The 18,458-nt window shown below is 49.5% G+C and overlaps 1 protein-coding gene and 1 long non-coding RNA gene across 26 annotated transcripts in view; one reads left to right on the forward strand and one right to left on the reverse strand.

Moving 5' to 3' along the window:
• CUX1 (cut like homeobox 1) overlaps window positions 1-18,458 on the forward strand; it is a 467,952-nt gene that overhangs the window by 424,496 nt on the left and 24,998 nt on the right. For 19 of the 25 annotated variants that reach the window (NM_001202543.2, XM_047419908.1, XM_047419912.1 and 16 more), the window contains one exon: window positions 7,910-17,731. The exons of the other annotated variants lie outside the window; for them this stretch is intronic. In NM_001202543.2, the coding sequence (NP_001189472.1) occupies window positions 7,910-8,540 (631 nt within the window). In that variant the 3' untranslated portion in view covers window positions 8,541-17,731. Of the gene's footprint in view, window positions 1-7,909; window positions 17,732-18,458 lie in introns of those variants that run through there. 25 annotated transcript variants of the gene reach the window in all.
• LOC124901711 (uncharacterized) lies at window positions 50-6,870 on the reverse strand. The gene is made up of 3 exons (XR_007060458.1): window positions 6,789-6,870; window positions 2,274-2,402; window positions 50-136 (listed from the first exon to the last, which is right to left on the reverse strand). It is a non-coding gene; the product is annotated as an uncharacterized LOC124901711 (long non-coding RNA).

Raw genomic sequence — 18,458 nt, forward strand, 5'->3', positions numbered from 1 at the left:
CCACCTCAACCTCCCAAAGCCTTGTGATTATAGACATGAGCCACCACACCTGGCCTGAACTTTTATTTCTTAGTGATTTTGCAGTGCTTTCTCGGGGTCTTCTGCCATGTTATCTTCCAAATTAGTTTGATTAGTTCTGTAATTAAATAAATGAAGTCATTTAAGACCTTTGCATTTGGGAAAGTTCATGAGTTAATGAAGACAGATTGAGCATCTTCTAGATCTCAGATTCTGAGCTAAGTATTTCACCGAGTTATATCACTTAATCCTCACAGCTCACAAATGTATATGAGATACCTTATTCTTGTCATTCCTTTTTTGTTGTTGTTGTTGTTTGAGACGGAGCCTTGCTCTGTCGCCCAGGTTGGAGTGCAGTGGCACGATCTCGGCTCACTGCAGCCTCCTTCTCCCAGGTTCAAGCGACTCTCCTGCCTCAGCCTCCTGAGTGGCTGAGACTACAGGTGTGCACCACCACGCCTGGCTAATTTTTGTATTTTTAGTAGAGACGGGTTTCATCATATTGGCCAGGCTGGTCTCGAACTCCTGACCTCAAGTGATCCGCCTGCCTCGGCCTCCCAAAGTGCTGGGATTACAGGCATGAGCCACCGCACCCAGCCAGTTCTCTTCATTCTACAGATGAAAAATATAGAACTCAGAGGGGCTAAGGAGGTCAGGCCCCAGTGCTGTCTTGGTAGAACAAAGTGCACTGGGATGAAGTGTTTGGAGTAGATGGAGGAAACCCACTGAAGGATCCTGAGTTGCTGATCATAGCTATAACCATACTCTCTGCTGCTAGAAACCAAGAATTCCAGGGCCCTGATGGAGATCCCTAAGCTAGTGCCTTGCCATTGACCATCTCAGGTGCTGCTTCCCATTGTCCCTAGGGCACGATAACATTGGGGTAGGTGCTCCTGGTTCAACCAAGGTCACCCTACGTAGGTCTAGCCGATGGCAGTGGGGCCCTCCCAGCTGTGCACATGACACAGTCATGGGCAGCACAAAGTCACAGTCAGGCTGGAGGGGAAGTTGTGTCTCTCACCGGGCCCTCCCTCCCCCATAAGGTCCACTGGAGTTCCTAAAGGGGCCCAGTAAACCACCCAGGCTCTGAACAAATTGGGAAACTAAAATATTAGGTCAGAGTCCAAATCACACCTTTATTGCCCATAGAGGCAAAGTCACAAGATGCTGCTCATTGTGAGAACTGAGCGCACCTGCTACGTGGACCCTAGACTCAGGCAAACTTCCCCACAATGGCAGCCCTGGCCCCGCACAGGCCTCCCCGTGTTCCAGCTACCTCCCGCAAGGACAAAATCCAGGATTAGCCAGGCGTGGTAACACGCACCTACAGCCCCAGCTACTCAGGAGGCTGAGGTGGGAGGATCACTTGAGGCCAGAAGGCGGAGGTTGCAGTGAGCCGAGATCACACCACTGCACTCCAGTCTGGGTGATAGAGCCAGACCCTGTCTCAAAAAAAGAAAGTCCAGGAGCTGCACAGCCAGTTTCTTCATTCCAAATTTAGCAATCAGATCAAAACAGAGGCAGAGGGAGGCCAGCAGTTAGAACAGTGGAGGTCCCTCTACTTGGAAGGAAACTTCAACAGTAATGAAGCAGAATGAAGGAAATGAACGGAAACGTGGACAGGGGTTTCCTGAAGCTTCTCTTTGCCAGGTGCCATGCTATCCCATTTCCACTTTCTTTCTTTCTTTTTTTTTTTTTTTTTTTTTTCTGAGACAGAGCCTTGCTCTGTCACCCAGGCTGGAGTACAGCAGCACGATCTCGGCTCACTGCAACCTCTGCCTCCTAGGTTCAAGCTTCTCCTGCCTCAGCCTCCTGAGTAGCTGAAATTATAGGCACCCACCACCATGCCCGGCTAATTTTTTGTATTTCTAGTAGAGACTGGGTTTCACCATGTTGGCCAGACTGGTCTCAAACTCTTGACCTCAAGTGATCCACCCACCTCGGCCTCCCAAAGTTCTGGGATTACAGGCGTGAGCCACCACGCCTAGATGCCATCTCTACTTTCTAGCCACAGAGATGCGTGCACTTTGAAGTCTCCTGCAATTCACATCCATTTTAGGGCATGTGTGATAACGCTTTCTATAATATAGACACATGCAAAGCCCTAGGTTACCATCTGGGCATAGATGCTACCAATTATACAAAACAGTTCCAAAAGTATGTTCCCTGGCCCTGCTGGAGCCACGTTTGTTTCCCAAGTCCCCCAACAGGCCTCAGCTGCATGGCAGTCACTGCCCCCTGGCCAGGGTACACACCCTCGGGTTTCTCAGTTTGCTGCTTGTCTTGCTGGTCTTCTGACAGTCATACCCGTCACACTGTAGTCTGCGGTCATTGTGGGGATGCCTCTTTTGTGCATTTTAGCACTAGCAAATTCAGTGGTACACCTGTGGCAAAGATAGAGAAGGGGAGAGAAGAAGAATACCAGTAGGACCTCAAAACTTAGTAAGTAAAATTTAGTAATCACAGGTCTGGGCTGGGTGTGGTAGCTTATGCCCGTAATCCTAGCACTTTGGGAGGCCAAGGCGGGTGGATCACTTGAGGCCAGGAGTTCGAGACCAGCCTGGCCAACATGATGAAACCCCGTCTCTACTAAAAATACAAAAATTAGCCAGGTGTGGTGGGGTGCGCCTGTAATCCCAGCTGCTCAGGAGGCTGAGGCAAGAGAATCGCCTGAACCTGTGAGGTGGAGGTTGCAGTGAGCCATGATCATACCACTGCACTCCAGTCTGGGTGACACAGCGAGACTCTGTCTCAAAAAAATAAATGAATCCCAGGTCTGAATCCAGAGTAGACACTCAACAAATGCTTCCTTTCAAAAATAACTCCACAACAAAGCAGGCTGGGCTGAGTCAAATATGGGATCCAAGAGATGAGTTTGAGCTGCAGAGATCTGGAAAAATATCATGGAAGAGGTATGAAATGAGCAGGCTCTTGAAAGGAGGATTGGAGTAGAGAAGAATTTTATAAGCAACGAAACAGGTGGAAGGAGAAACGAGGGGCCGAGCACAGTGGCTCATGCCTGGAACTCCACCACATTGGGAGGCTGAAGCAGGAGGATGGTTTGAGGCCAGGAGTTTGAGACCAGCCTCAGTGAGACCCTGTCTCTACAGAAAATAATAATAATAATAATAATAATAATAATAATAATAATAATAATAAAATAAATGAAGGAGAAGTGAGCATTCAAAATTAGCATGAAGTCGCTTGTCTAAGATCACCCAGCAGGGGCGGGCTTGGTGGTTCACGCCTATAATCCCAGCACTTTGGAAGGCCAAGGCGGGCAGATCATCTGAGGTCAGGAGTTCGAGACCAGCCTGGCCAACATGGTGAAACCCTGCCTCTACTAAAAATACAAAATTAGCCCGGTGTGGTGGCACATGCCTGTAATCCCAGCTACTCTAGAGGCTGAGGCAGGAGAATCTCTTGAACTCCGGAGGCGGAGGTTGCAGTGAGCCGAGATCACGCCATTGCACTCCAGCCTGGGCAACAGAGCAAAACTCCGTCTCAAAAAAATAAAAATAAAAATAAAAAAAGACCACTCACCCAGCAGGCCAAGGGCAGAGGGCAGAGCAGAGATGCAGACTGAGTTTCTTCTCCAACACTTTGGTTCTTTCACTAAATGCTTTGTACAGACCAACCTGCCGTTATACCCGACAGAGCTTCCCGACACTGGATGTGTTAAATCCCTAACCAAGAACGTAGTTTTTTACGTTCTTTTCTCAGGGGTTAAACAGGAAAAGTAGATTTTCTTTTCTCCTGTCCCACTGGAACCCTCAGGGAGTAACACTTGGTGTCAATTTTTGCCCCCTCAAAAAAAAAACCGAGCTTTATTTCCTCTTATCCTTTCACTTTAAGGGAATTAGAAATATCTCTGGCTAAAGGCAATTAAAAATATCTCAGGCTGGGCCGGGCACGGCCTGTAATCCCAGCATTTGGGGAGGCCAAGGTGGGAGGATTGCTTGAGCCCAGGAGTTTGAGACCAGACTGGGCAACATAGTGAGACCACGTCTACAAAAAATAGAAAAACAGGCGGGCGTGGTGGTGCATGCCTGTGATCCCAGCTACTCAGGAGGCTGAGGTGGGAGAATCACTTGAGGAGGTTGAGGCTGCAGTGAGCTGTGATCATGCCATTGCACTCCAGCCTGGGGAACAGAGCAAGACCCTGTCCCCCAGCAAAAAAAAACATATCTCAGGCTGACCATTTACCCAGGATTGATGACGAGATTGCCAGAACAACATGCCACAGGACACTGCTCTCCCCTGGAAAAACAGGTCCACCCAGTTAGGAACTCAGATTCTGAACCCTCGCAGCCACGGCATTCTGCGAGCCTTGTGTGACTTCCCTAAAAACCACAACTGCTCCTGGAAGCTCATCTTTCTAGGCCAGAAGACAGTATTCCTTAGAAATATGGAGACAAATCTAGGCTAAAAAGGATGATGTCTCACATCTGTGGAGCACAAAGCATGTGCCAGGCACTGAGCCAAAAAGGTTTTTGTTTGTTTGTTTGTTTTCTGATTTTGGTTTTGGTTTTGGTTTTTTGAGAAAGGGTCTCGCTCTGTCGCCGAGGCTGGAGTGCAGTGGCAAAATCTCAGCTCACCGCAGCCTTGAACTCCCAGGCTCAGCCAATCCTTCCATCTGAGCCTCAGGAGTAGCTGGGGCTTCAGGTGCATGCCACCACACCTGGCTAATTTTTTGTATTTTTCTGTAGAGATGGGGTTTTGCTATTTTGCCCAGGCTGGTCTCTAACTCCTGAGCTCAAGTGATCTCCCACCCAGGCCTCCCAAAGCCCTGGGATTATAGGCATGAGTCCCTGCACCCGGCCTGAGCAGACAGTTTTATAGATATATCATCTTATTAGTCCCTCCATCAGCACCCAAGTGCAGTGCTGCTGGCCCCATTTTACAGGCAAAGTCTGCACACAGGGGCCAAGCTCATGAGCATGGAAACACAAGCCCCATGCCTAACGGTGTCCGCTCCCCACCCCAGCCTTAGGGCTTATCACAGCACACAAACAGCGGCTGGATAGGGGGAAGGGTGACCCCTTTTTGAATGGCTACTTTGGGTCCTACATCATACATTTAATACCTTATTTAATCTTAATAACTTCTCTGCAAGGAAGATACCATTCTCCACATTTTTCAGACAAGAAATAAGAAAACTGAAGTTGTAGCCAGGCGTGGTGGCTCACCCCTGTAATCCCAGCACTTTGGGAGGCCAAGGCAGGTGGATCACCTGAGGTCAGGAGTTCAAGACCAGCCTGGCCAACATGGTGAAACCCCGTCTCTATTAAAATACAAAAAATTAGCCAGTTGTCGTGGCACGTACCTGTAGTCCCAGCTATTTGGGAGGCTGAGGCAGGAGAATCATTTGAACCCAAGAGGCAGAGGTTGCAGTGAGCTGAGATCGCACCACTGCACTCCAGCCTGGGCGTCAGAGTGAGACTCCCTTCTCAAAAAAAAAAAAAAATGAAAAATGAAATTTTCTTATTTCTCACAGAATGCTATGGCTATGAGGTTAAATAACTTCTCCAAGTTGCACAGCTAGTAAGCACCTTAGCCAGATATCCAACCCAAGTGTGCCTGCTTCCAAAAAGCCTGTACTCTGGTTTTGGGTCGGGCTGGGACCAAACCTTCACTACCCATATAGCCTCCCGCCTCCCCAACCAGAATAGGTGGGGTGGAGAGTTTCACCCCAACTAGCAGTCTCACTGCCAAGGAACTTGAAAGCCATAGCGCCCAGGAACCTGTTCACAGAAGCCACCATTTCCTGGGCTCCCAAGGTAGCCCCAGGGAAGGGGGAAAGACTTACACACCTTGGAACTTCTGGGGGGCTTCTCAGAACCTTTCCTTTCTGAACCAGAGCTCACAAATCTTTCAGGACAAGGTTCAGAGCTCACTGCACGCAGGAATCAAATAACTCCATAGCAGATTCACAACCCCCTGCACCCCACCAGAGTTCAATACCCTGGGCTAAGCTACAGTAGGATCTTCCCCAGGGGAGTCCCCACAGTCAGCACAGGACCCGGCGCAGAGTAGGAGCCCAGAAAACCTTTGTTTTTTTTTTCCCTTGAGACAGGATCTTGCTCTGTCGCCCAGGCTGGAGTGCAGTGGCAGTCTTGGCTCACTGTAACCTCCACCTCCCAGGTTCAAGAGATTCTCCTGCCTCAGCCTCCTGAGTTGCTGGGATTACAGGTACCTGCCACCACGCCTGGCTAATTTTTGTATTTTTAGTAGAGACAAGGTTCCACCATGTTGGCCGGGCTGGTCTCGAACGCCGGGCCTCAAGCCATCTGCCCGCCTCAGCCTCCCAAAGTGCTGGGATTGCAGGCGTGAGCTACCATGCCCAGCCTCAGAAAGCCTTATTGGCCGGGCTTGGTGGCTTATACCTGTAGTATCAACACTTTGGGAGGCCAAGGCAGCAGAATCACTTCAGCCCAGGAGGTCAAGTTTGCAGTAAACTATGATCTTGCCCCTGCACTCCAGCCTAAGCAACATCATGAGATCCTGTCTCTACAATATTTTAAAAATTTAGGCATGGTGGTATACACCTGTGGTCCTAGCTACTCAGGAGGCTGAGGCAGGAGGATCACCTGAGCCTGGGAGGTGGAGGTTGCAGGGAGCTATGATCACACCACTGCATTTCAGCCTGAGTGACAGAGCAAGACACTGCCTCTAAGTAAAATAAGGAAAGGAAAAAAAAAAAAAGAAAGAAAAAATACAGAATTTGGTGGAATTCCACCCTACCCTGGACCACAAGCCCCCAACCTGACCTTCTGTGGCTCAGAGATTAAAATTGTCACTTTGGCCACTATCCAATAATTGGTCCTCTCTCCTGAAGTCCTGATGGATGCAGCGGTTATCAGGCAGTTTCACTGATGAACTCACCCAGCCTTCGTTACTGCACACCAGGCGCCAGTGCAAGGCCTGGGTGTACAAAGAATAAATAGGACCTTGCCTTTCTCAGTCTAGTTGGAGCGGGATGGGATGGGATGGAGGAAACGTGTCACTCGATAAGAACCCTGGCCAGAAGTGGTGGCTCATGCCTGTAATCCCAGCACTTGGGGAGGCCCAGGCAGGAAGATTGCTTGAGCCCAGGAGCTCAAGACTAGCCTGGGCAACATGGCAAGACTCCATCTCTTTAAAAAATTTAAAAATTAGCAAGCATAGTGACACAGTTGTGGTCCTAGCTACTCAGGAGGCTCAGATGGGAGGATCACTCAAGCCCAGTAGTTGGAGGCTGCAGTGAGCTGTGATGGCACCACTGCACTCCAGTCTGGGTGACAGAACAAGGCCTTGTTTCCAAAAGGTTTTTGAAAAATAAAATAAGTGGCCGGACGCAGTGGCTCACACCTGTAATCCCAGCACTTTTGGAGGCCAAGGCAGATAGCTCATGTGAGGTCCGGAGTTTGAGACCAGCCTGGCCAACATGGTGAAACCCCATCTCTTCTAAAAATGCAAAAATTAGCTGGATGTGGTAGTGGGTGACTGTAATCCCAGGTACTCTGGAGGCTGAGGCAGGAGAATCGCTTGAACCCAGGAGGCAGAGGTTGCAGTCTGCGGAGATTGAGCCACTGCACTCCACCTGGGCAGCAACAGGGAAATTCTGTCTCAAAAAATAAAAATTAAAATAAGTGCCCGCGGCAATTTGTTGCAGTGGAGAATAGGGGAGTGGTGTCCCAGCCCTGGGATGGCTCCTGGCCAGGCCCGGAGGGGTGGGTGGTGACTCTGGAGAGGGGCTGCCCCGTGGCCCGAGGGTCGCTGGAGGGGCACGGAGGGGCCTCCAGGCTGGACGGAGCAGGAGCCCCAGAGAGAGGGGTCTGGCTGGGGTAGCACCAGAGGCCCTTTCCCCAGCAGCACCCCCCTCACGTCCCCGCCGCTTGTTGTCTTGTAGGTCTCGGATCCGCAGAGAACTGTTCATTGAGGAAATTCAGGCCGGGAGTCAGGGCCAGGCGGGCGCCAGCGACTCACCCTCGGCCCGCAGCGGCCGGGCGGCGCCCAGCTCGGAGGGCGACAGCTGCGACGGCGTGGAGGCCACTGAGGGCCCAGGCAGCGCCGACACCGAGGAGCCCAAGTCTCAGGGAGAGGCCGAGCGGGAGGAGGTGCCGCGGCCGGCGGAGCAGACGGAGCCGCCGCCCTCGGGGACCCCGGGCCCGGACGACGCCCGCGACGACGACCACGAGGGAGGCCCCGTGGAAGGCCCGGGGCCCCTGCCCAGCCCCGCCTCCGCGACCGCCACCGCCGCGCCCGCGGCCCCCGAGGACGCCGCTACCTCAGCCGCCGCCGCGCCGGGGGAGGGCCCCGCGGCCCCGAGCTCCGCGCCGCCGCCCAGCAACAGCAGCAGCAGCAGCGCCCCCCGCAGGCCCAGCTCGCTGCAGAGCCTTTTCGGCCTCCCCGAGGCCGCGGGCGCCCGGGACTCGCGCGACAACCCCCTGCGCAAGAAGAAGGCCGCGAACTTGAACAGCATCATCCACCGCCTGGAGAAGGCCGCCAGCCGGGAGGAACCTATCGAATGGGAGTTCTGAGGGGCCGCGGCCCTGGGGCGGGCAGCCAGGCTGGGCCGCAAGGGCCTGGACGGGGTCGGACGGGGCAGGCGCTGCGGACACCGTGGCCTGGGCTTGGCCCGCGGCCTGCACCGACCCCGGGCCGGACCTGAGCCCGCAGCCCAGACCCCCTCCACGGTCCGCGGCCTGCACCGACCCGAGGCCCAGATCCAAGGCCGCGGCCCAGACCCACTCTGCGGCCCGGGCCGACCCTGCGGCCTCCACCAACCCCGCGGCCCAGACCCAGCCCGCGGCCTGGACCCCTGGACCGCTTTGCGCACTTACCGCCCTGCGGGCCACAGGGCAAAATCGCCATAGGCCAAGGTGCATATAGAAAACAAAGGAGCATTAAGCCCAATCTATGTCGTGTTTTCAAGGAAGAAAACGGAAATGTGTGGTCGAGCTTTTTTGTACCCTGAAGTGTTTTTTTTATTGCCCTAAGTGATTTCCACAGGTTCTGGAATAACTCTTACAGCTTTGCCTTGTGTCCTCCTGTTCCGTGTGGGCTTTAAAAGAAAAAAAATCAAACCCACATATTAAAAGGGGGCTTTTTATCTGCCATCTAATGGCTTCAGAGCGATAATACACTATTATCTTCTTAAACCAGGAAAAAATAAAAGGGGGGGTGGGATTTTTCAGAAAAATTAAAAAAGAAAGTTTTTGTAGCTGTTCAGTTGCCACTAAGAGATTGCACAGTCAAAACGACTCTAAACACACTAGTTTGGATTCCTAAATATTTTCAAGAAAAGAATCTTCTCGTTTGAAACTTTGAATTAAAATAAAACACATTTACTCCACATATTTTTTAACAAAAAGAAAACGTCACATCAGGAAACTCTGATTTTGTGGTAGCTGACATAGTGTTTTCTTGTACGTGAATAGAATCCTGACATGTAGTGCACATTGATGTATAGCTTTAACTGACCCTGGGTTTTGCAGACCAGGGTTTGTTTAATACACTCCATTCTAGGCCAAATCAGGACAAAAAAAAGAAAAAAAAAGAAAAAAAAAAAAGAAAAGATCCGAATCTAGGTATTTTATAATCTGCTTTTTAACCTCTAACCGCAGAGCACGCTGATCAGACCTCATATCTTGGAGGTTTAGGAGACAAGTTAGAACTGTAGCATGTACCTGTTAATTTTGTTTAATTTATGGTGTCTCAATCTGTCTGTGCGTCTGCACGTGTGCAAGCATTGAAAGAAAGGAGAGAGTAGTCCGGGCGAGCACAGCAGGCAGTTCCAGGGCCAGACGGGCCCATCCCCAAGTAGATAGCAGTCTACGGATCTCTCTCTGGCACAGAAGGCACCTCACCTCACACCACTCTCCTGGATACCTGATGAACTGAGCCCTCCCAGGGGAAGACACTCCCCAGGCCTGGGCAGGGCTTACACGCGCACTCTCTCTCTTCTTTCCCTTTTTCTTCCCACCGCAAGCACTGATGACCCTGTTGAACTCGTGGGAAACTTCCTTTCTCTGCAGGAGAGAGAACGTGGCATTCTGGGCTCCCCACTCCCATCCCTGTAGAAATGGCCCAAACTCACACCAAAACGTGGATGCTCTTCAACTTCCAAACCTACCATTTGCCCTTCTTTCATTTCGCCTCTTAGTTCTTTTTATGCACAGTTTTAGGGCAGTCTAAGTACAAACTGAAAGTCTAACTTGTCTCTGATTCCTCCCTTGTCTATGTGTATATGCGTGAGAATAGAGGCGGGTGAGAGTGTGCGTGCGTGTGCGTGTGTGCAATTTTATACGTCTGTGTATTTTCTTAAGTACCTGTGCACACGTAGAGTGCATTACTGCCACCTTTTTCAATAAGCTGTTTTATCAGTTACGGCTTCTACAAGTTTGCTAATTTAGACTTCTTTATTGCCATATCTTTAAACTAACAATAGATGATTTCGGTATATATATATATTTTTTTTTGCTTATTTATAGGTGCTGTATTTTATTATCTGATTGTTAGGAAGGGATGAAAGGGGCAAATATTCTTTAGAGGGATAGACTGCCGGCAGTATTGGGTATAATTTACAAGATGTAGTTGTCATACTGTATATTACTGATTGAAAACTTTTTGACCGTATTGTGTATCATTGAAACCTTTGTCTTAGGTCAACATCTTTGGATGACATTTTAATGGTGCATTCATTATTTCTTAAGTTTAATTAATATTACTTTTTTTTTTATTTGGGGGGTGGGAGGGAGTTATAATTTTAAAGGTATGCTCTGGCTGTTCCACCTCCGTGTGCTTGTTAATTAACTTGTAGGACTTTGACTGTAAGATGTGAAACCACGTTTCTTGCATGATGTTTTAGAGATTATTTCATTTACAGTCTTTTAACCTGCAGCTGCAGCACTTAGTTCACGTTTTCACAAATTTCAAGAGTCACTACACTAAAGACAATGCCTTTTCATGAATAAGAAGTTTTCAGAAGGCTCTAGGGGGCTGGGAGGCAGGCTGTTCGTTTGTCTTTTGTTGGGGGTATCATTTCTGAACTTGAAATCCAGTTCAGGGAGAAGAGAATTCAAAATTAGAGGAGCTTAAGGGGACACGGGTCAACATCTAGCTCGATTCAGGTGCATTGAGAAGAGTGAGTTCACATCGGTGACCCTTAGGACAGTGAGTGGCAGAGCCCTGACGACTGTGGTGTCCTCTCCACAAAACCCTCAAGGGACTTTTGTCATCATGTGTGATGAATCTTTAAATATCGTCTAATTTTCATAAGAATGAAAAGAAGTTAACAGGAAATAGTAGGCTAGGGTTTAGTTTTAAAGGCATGACTGTTATTTACAAAGGTGTTAAATCTGAGGAAATTGACAAATACAGATTTGTCCATTCTAGTGGCCAAACAGTAACAGTCTAAAATGCAGTCATTTTGACCCTCCCAAGCAATTTAGTCATATGTGTTGTTTTCTCTTTTCTGTTTTTACTTCTTAGATTTTTAACTAGGTTACTGTTGGTTCCCATTCTGTCTTTTTTGCCAGACTTACATCTGGTGCCAGATACAATCAGTTGGTTAAATTTTGCTTGCAGTTCTGTGTATTTTTTTTCCTCTATTATTTATTTTTTTAAAAAAAATAGAGATCCTAACCTTAGATCTTTGATGTGAAGCTAGCACTGTCTGTAATACTTCTAAGAGCTGCCACTAAAATAATACAGCAATCCGTGGCCAGGGGAGCACCCCCTCCTGGTTGGGCCCCTCAGTTGGAGTCTAAGGGTTAATCTCTCATCTTGCTAAGCAGTATTCAAGTGCCTTGAACAGTGTCCCCTCGGCATGGCTCCCCTTCAGCAGGCTGGCATTCCAAGCAGTGGCCCCCGCAGGCAGCCGACCCCCTTCCTCTTCACGCTCTATGAGTTTAAAAAGCTGATTTGTACCTCTCCCCTGGGGGAAACGGTTCCATATAAAACACTAACACTTAATTACAAGCTCCATTATGCCATTTTAAATGGCTTCTTTTTGTTAATTGGAGGCATTGTTCATAACTTAAGGCTTTTGCCATTAACTTAGCTGGCTAAGCAGAGGCTCGGGGTAAAATCAGTGTTTGCATTTAGCCTCTTGACCCGGAGTTCCGGCCCAAGCTCCCTTGTGATAGCCGAGATGGCAGGTGTGTGAGTTCTGTCCTAGACCTGTGCCCAACTCACTTCCACCCCAGAGGAGTCTTCTGTCCTCCTCCCCAACCCCCGAGCTCCCTGGTAACCTCCTCTTGAACTTCTGTATCAGTGAAGACATCTGTGGTTTCTGCTCACCAGACCTCTCTTTAGAAAGGGTTATCAGAGCCATGGAGCTTAGCTCAATTGGATTCTTCTAGACGATCTTAGGAGGCATCTTGGCATGAGGCAGCTTCTAAGCGTCTCCTGGGACAGGATTGGGGTGACAGCCCAGGGATGCATGCATGGGAGAACTCTCTGAGAAATGCCAGGATCGTGGCTCACAGGGACCCACCATCAAAACCTGCTACTTTGTGCAAGTAATTGAGGCAAAAGATACCAGTCGACAGCCTCCCTGGGGTAGATCCCTTGTACCTCCAAAGTACAAATACCTCCCTGCTCAGTTTCCTTCCTGTCGCCATCTTTGTTTTCTTCCCATTGAAAAACCATCCTGTCTGATGTGGACGTTCAGGTCTGCTGGTTGGCGGTCCGGGCCCAGAGTGCAGCAGAGCTCTGGGTTAAATATTCCTTTCTGGCCACCGCCCAAGCCCAGGTGGCCAGCTCTCATACCCCATCTCCCTCCTTGGCCAGGGCCAGCATCAGGCGTGCAGCTCATGACCAGTTTACACAGGCTGCAAAGAGATCGCTGTGGGCCTCGGCTGACTACTTTAAGATTATGCCACAGCCAGGCCCTAAAAAGAGAGGGGAACAGGAGTCCCCAGGTGAGCTCTCTGACGGGCAGGTGCCTTCCCGACTAAGGTTGGACTGGATGACTTTGTTCCTCCTGCATGCATGTCCTTTGATGCAAGGGTGATCAATGAACTCTGTTGACATTCTATGCAATGTTTTTCATTCCTCTGATTTTAGCAAAGCAAATCTTACTGAAAAATAGCAGAGCCAGGGGAACAGACGCATGTCCTTCTGGGAGTCACACAAAAGCAGAGAGATTTTGAACTGAGGGGCGACAGCCTTTGCCTTAAATGCAGTATGACAGGCGCTTCTTGGCAGACCAGTAAAAACAAAAGCCCATAGACCTTACTCATCCCAAGGCCGACAAGCCAGCTGTACAGGGCGAGATGTAGCAACACGGGGCATGAGCGGTGGGCGTGCTGGGCTATTTGCTGTGGTACTTTAGGCTGGAGGTTTGGCTCCTGTGCTGCCGGTGGGGGGCCCTGTCCCTCCCCAGATGTCCTCCCTCTTCTTCACACTCCTCATTGTCCCTTCTACCTCACTAACCTGTCTTCTCCATCTGATGTCACCCAGAACCACACCCCACAGAACTGTGAGGCACGTGGGCTGGAGAGAGCAGAAAAGCTGCCAGCGCAGCAGACACGAACATCCCTCTGCCTGGTGGGCCGGCTTTGTGTGTCTCTCCTTTTGTGAGCGCAACACGGACAAACAGCTGTGCTCTGCAAGGCACACGGATGTTTCCCTTCCACCTGTTCCCAAAGCTCCAGCAGCTGTTTCTTTTGCAGGCAGGGCGTGGTCTCGGGGCTCCGAGGGTCTTGTCTTTGGTCCGCCTTCCTTTCTGTCCAGTCCTGCTCAGCTGTTAAGATCCATCATGGCCATTATCCTTGTCCCGGACTGCCCCAAAGTTCCCAGCTGGCTTTGGGGAACACTGTAGCTCTTGGGTGTCTCTTGTCTCTGGCATGGTTTTAGCGTCACTGCGAACACTCCTTTGCAAACATCAAACATCTCAAAGACGGAAAAGGATAGATGGCTTCCTCCAGCCTACACGCCCCGTCCACAGTGGCATCACCCTCTTATCCCAAAAGAATATGCCAGTTCCCATCCAGCACCGAAGAAAATCAGCTCCTGGGGCTGGTGGTTGGAGGTGGGTCTGTCCACTGTGGGGGCCAAAGTGTTCCCCTGCTGGAGACAGTTTGCAAGTAAGAACCTAAGGATGGGGACAGCATCCTGTGCTTGGGCATTGACCAGCCAAAGCTCACATTTAGAAAGCCCTCAGTGCTTCTGTGGTTTCACCTGGGCATCGACGACATTAGGGAAGCCTTTGTGACCACAAGGGCAGGGCTTGTGCCCTGAGTGGCGAGGTGGTGACCTGAGGCCAGTGTGATGTGGTTGGATCTCAGCGTGTACTGAATGCCAGTCTGGCCGGCACACTCGAACGCTAAGAGAATGGTCCAATTTGATGATCTTATTTCTATTTCGATCAGGTTTTGACTTTTTGTAGATGAAAACTACCAGGGAAAAGGGGAAGCAGGTACCCAATAAAGTTTAGAAAGATCCAGTCTGTGAAACCCTTAGAGATGGGCTGAAAGTTAAGTCCACCAACCCTTGGGCTTAATCAGGACGGAAGAGGAGGGGGTGTGGGGGGCAGAGCGTAAAACAAGCCCCAGCCCTACTCCCGGCCCCCCAGCCCAGTCTTCCCAATCCCAGAGGCCCCGGCGGCCTGTGCTCCTCACCACCCTGGTCAGGGGAATAGAAGGAAATGCAATTTCCGCCTGTCTGCCCGACTTCCAAAAACTGCCTCCTCCTGCCCAGGCCTCTCCCACCACCACCTTCCCTCCAAAGATAACCGTGTCCATGCCATCCGTGGCATCATCTCGAGTTTTCATTTTTGGATGAAGTGACATTTAGCTTTAACAAGACATTTCCAAAGCGCCTAGTCTCCTCCAAAATGCTAACTTTAAAAGTTGGGCATTGTAGGCGAAAAATCCCAAAAAAAAAAAAAGACAAAAAAAAAAGGCTGGCGAGAGAAAGACATTTGGCTATGCATAAATGTGCACTTCCCCCATGCCCCCGTTCTTAAACTCTTAAGATGCCTTTGAGTTGCTTTTCATGAATCCTTTTAGTTTACCCGATAATGTTAAGAAAGCATTAGTCTACGTTACTGTAATTTCTGTAGTGTTTACGCTTTAATTTCTACCACAAAATATGCTATATGCTATGTATCAAGCTTTCTGTAATCAGAAAGAAAAGGTGCCTTATATCCCAATGTCACGGCTACATCCCTATGGAAATTAATCAGAAGCACAGTGTGTACGGAAGCATTGGGACTTCTGCTGGTGAAACAAGAGACCATTCAGCAAGACACATTGAAGTGGCACGGAGCTGCTTTTGTTTTATAATTCTTTTTTCCCCCCTTTTCCTTCTTCTTTTTTATTATTTTATTATTTTTTTTGTACTTTGCTTTAAACGGAAAGCACTTAAATAGATGACTATGTGTAAAAGCTCTGTGCAATTGAAATCATTTTTCTTCATTTTAAAAAAATAACGTATTGCACACCAAATGAACTCAAAGTAAGCTTTAGACCAGGACGATTCAGGTTATGAATGAGTTTGTTCACTGTAGTTCCGTTTGTTCATGAACCGAAGGGAAAACAGGCCTCCCCGACTCCCTCCAGTCTCCCAGCCTGCCTCTTGGTGACCACTGTGCTGGGCGTGCAGGGCCCGCGGGCTCTGGCCGGAGCCGCTGGCCTGACGAGGCAGGATAGGGAGTATCCGTGATTCAGAAGCTGAGACCCTTCCCCAGTGTCTGAGGCCACAGCCATCCCTTCCAGCACTTAATCTTGTCTTGTTGAAATGGACTGACTGCTACTGACCTGCCGGCGTGCGTGAGGGTGATTATAAAAGGATGTTTCCTTGAGAAAAAAAAAATTATTTCTATCCTCTTCTATTTATTATTAGGTTAATCATTTAAGTACTTATCAGGAGTGTATTGTTATTTTGTGTTTTGTTGTCATAAATGCTTTTTGCTGTCACTCTAGTGGTTACTATCCTCTGCCTTCCTCTCCTCCCCTACTCCCCCAGAGAACCAAGGCGTCTGGGGGATTGACTGGGGGGCAGAGGGGGTTTCCCCAGCAAAATCAAACACCTGTCTCCAGAGTAGCCACTCAAAAACTGGTGGTCTCTATGTGTCTAACTTTTTAAATGAGAGTGTTTATGAACAAAAAAATTTACCAACGTGTGAGGGAGTTGCTGAGTTGAAGAATGCTCGCTTGAGGAGCTTCAGAGGAATCTTAGCAAAGCCAAGTTCAGTTCCCCAAAGCCTCCTAGAGCCTCTGGTAAGACTTCTGGGTTCATGAAGTTTCGGCGAGCCGTGGTCAGAGAGGGCGCGGTGGCCTGGCCAAGACTTTACCTCCAAGCGAGAGAGTGATTTCTTGCAAGGCCCGCATGGGTTGATACGTTTTGGTTGGTTTTTTGTTGTTGTTTTTCTTGCGTACAAAGTTGGTCAAAACCATCTTTCAAAGCAACAGTGTTTTGTAGTACCAGGCTGTGGCTTGAGGGCTCACCTAGGAGATCATAGGCAGAGGGCCCCTTTCCCCTATAGGTGGTTCAACGTGGAGGAAGGTTGGGTGTGGAGATTGCTTGCTGTGGCCCCAAGCTCAGCCAGCAGGACACCCAGTTGTTGCCAATCAGGTGTGAAGGTGAGGCGCCCTGCCTTGATCCCATGGGCCCAGCAGAAGGAAACTTACCCCAGGCCAAGGCAAGGGCCCTGCTCACCCCAAGGTAGGCTGGGAAGAGCATCTCTTTCCATATCATCACCTCCCCTTCTCCAAGATTGCCGGGGGCCCTGATTTTGTTCTCTCTTTGAAAGAAACCCTCCACCGAAACAATGGTCCCCATCTCCCCAGAAGCCTTTTTTTTTTTCATTTTTCTCTAATTAGTCTATGCATTTCTCTCTCTCAAACCATCTTCTGCCTCTTCCCTTGAGAAAACGGGCATCTCACGTACCCCCATCTGAGACCTCTTGGAAAAAAAAAATCCCGTGTATTCTGGAGATGTGAGAATTCACCCAAAATTCTTAAAACATTGGAGAATAGCTTGTTATAAAATAAAAGTGGGGGTAAAAAGAAGGTGGTTTTCCCCACATCCCTTTGCATTGAATAAGAGACCTAGTTCTTTGCGTTTGTGCAATAACTCTTTGCTGCTTGCCTTGAGAGCGGGTAGCACCACGCTCCTGTCCAGACTACTAACAGCACAAGACGCACTCACAGGGTGGCGGAATCTTCCGGAAAACTCTCTATAAGCTCAGCTCCCCCCACCCCACCCCCACTCTAGCGTTTTGTCACGTCTTACATTTTAGCAGTATTTTATATTTTCTGTAACGCACCAAGTCTTAGATCTTTCTAGAGCTTGTTTGTTCATCCTCACAATCACAGATTTTTTTCTCCAATCCTCACAGAGACCCAATTGACCAAAAAAGAAAAAAGGAAAAAAAAAAAGTCGTCTTTTTTTTTTTTTTTTGTACAAATCGCTTTGAGATGCCTCTGGTGTGTTGCTGTGTGACATCTCTCTGGTAACATTTTATTTCTTGCTATTTGTTTTTCTACATTAAGAGTCAAAGTTGACCTGGCTGGCGTGGGGGTGGGGGAGGCACCCGTCGGCCCCTTGGTGTTGTCCCTCTGTCTTTGGTTAGCCATACGATGTTTGTTCTCAGCACTGTACAACGGTCCCTATATAATACGGAGAAGCAATATCACTGTATGAGACTCACACCATGTATTATTATTCACTAGCACCCTAGGTGTGATAATTGAAGTAAATATCTTTTATACAAACACAAGAATGTGTGGGTTGTTTTTATTTAAAGTGCTCTGGCCTGAGGACGAGCAGCAAACACTGTCATTCGAGGTCCAAAGGGCACCTCAAGAATCGCCGTTCCCGAGGTCGTCCCCTTTGCACCTGTCCGCAGGTCCTCGGGCGTGTGGCTTCCGGGCACACAGAAAACCGTGTGGTTCTAGGATACATGGGGATCTCGGGCACTGCTCTGTCAATCTGCATCTGGTTCACAGGAAGGGCTTCGCCAGGGCCTGCGTTCCTACTTGCTGTTGTCACCAGCACTGTTTGCCTACCCTTGAACCAAGCCCTTACCCTCCCTGGCGTCCGCTTCCTTTTCTGTAAAATGGAGACACCATCTCCTGTCATATAGGCTTGCTGTGGGGAACCAGGAATGGTGGCCAGTGCTGGTGCGGCACTGGGCTGGTGGTGGCAGCCCCAATCGATGGCACTTGGGCGACCAGGACTACGGCCAGTCTCCTCTGCCGTGTGGCCTGCAGCTGGTCAGTGGCGTGGCCTCAGCCTTCTGTGTGGGGGTCTCACTGTGCCCCTGACTCCTGATGTAACAGAAAGACAAGTGAAAGGCACCAGTTAATGCTTGCGAGTGGGACAGTGGCTTGCGGGTCTCTGGAATGACGGGGCTACTGAGAAGAGTCTCTTTCCAGATGGCGCTCGGGCTGGAGGTGGGGGGAGAGCTCTGCAGAGGTGGCTGTTAGGCTTCTCCGCGCAGTTGT

This window comes from Homo sapiens, chromosome 7, assembly GCF_000001405.40.
Source record: "Homo sapiens chromosome 7, GRCh38.p14 Primary Assembly".
NCBI classification, from domain to species: domain Eukaryota; kingdom Metazoa; phylum Chordata; class Mammalia; order Primates; family Hominidae; genus Homo; species Homo sapiens.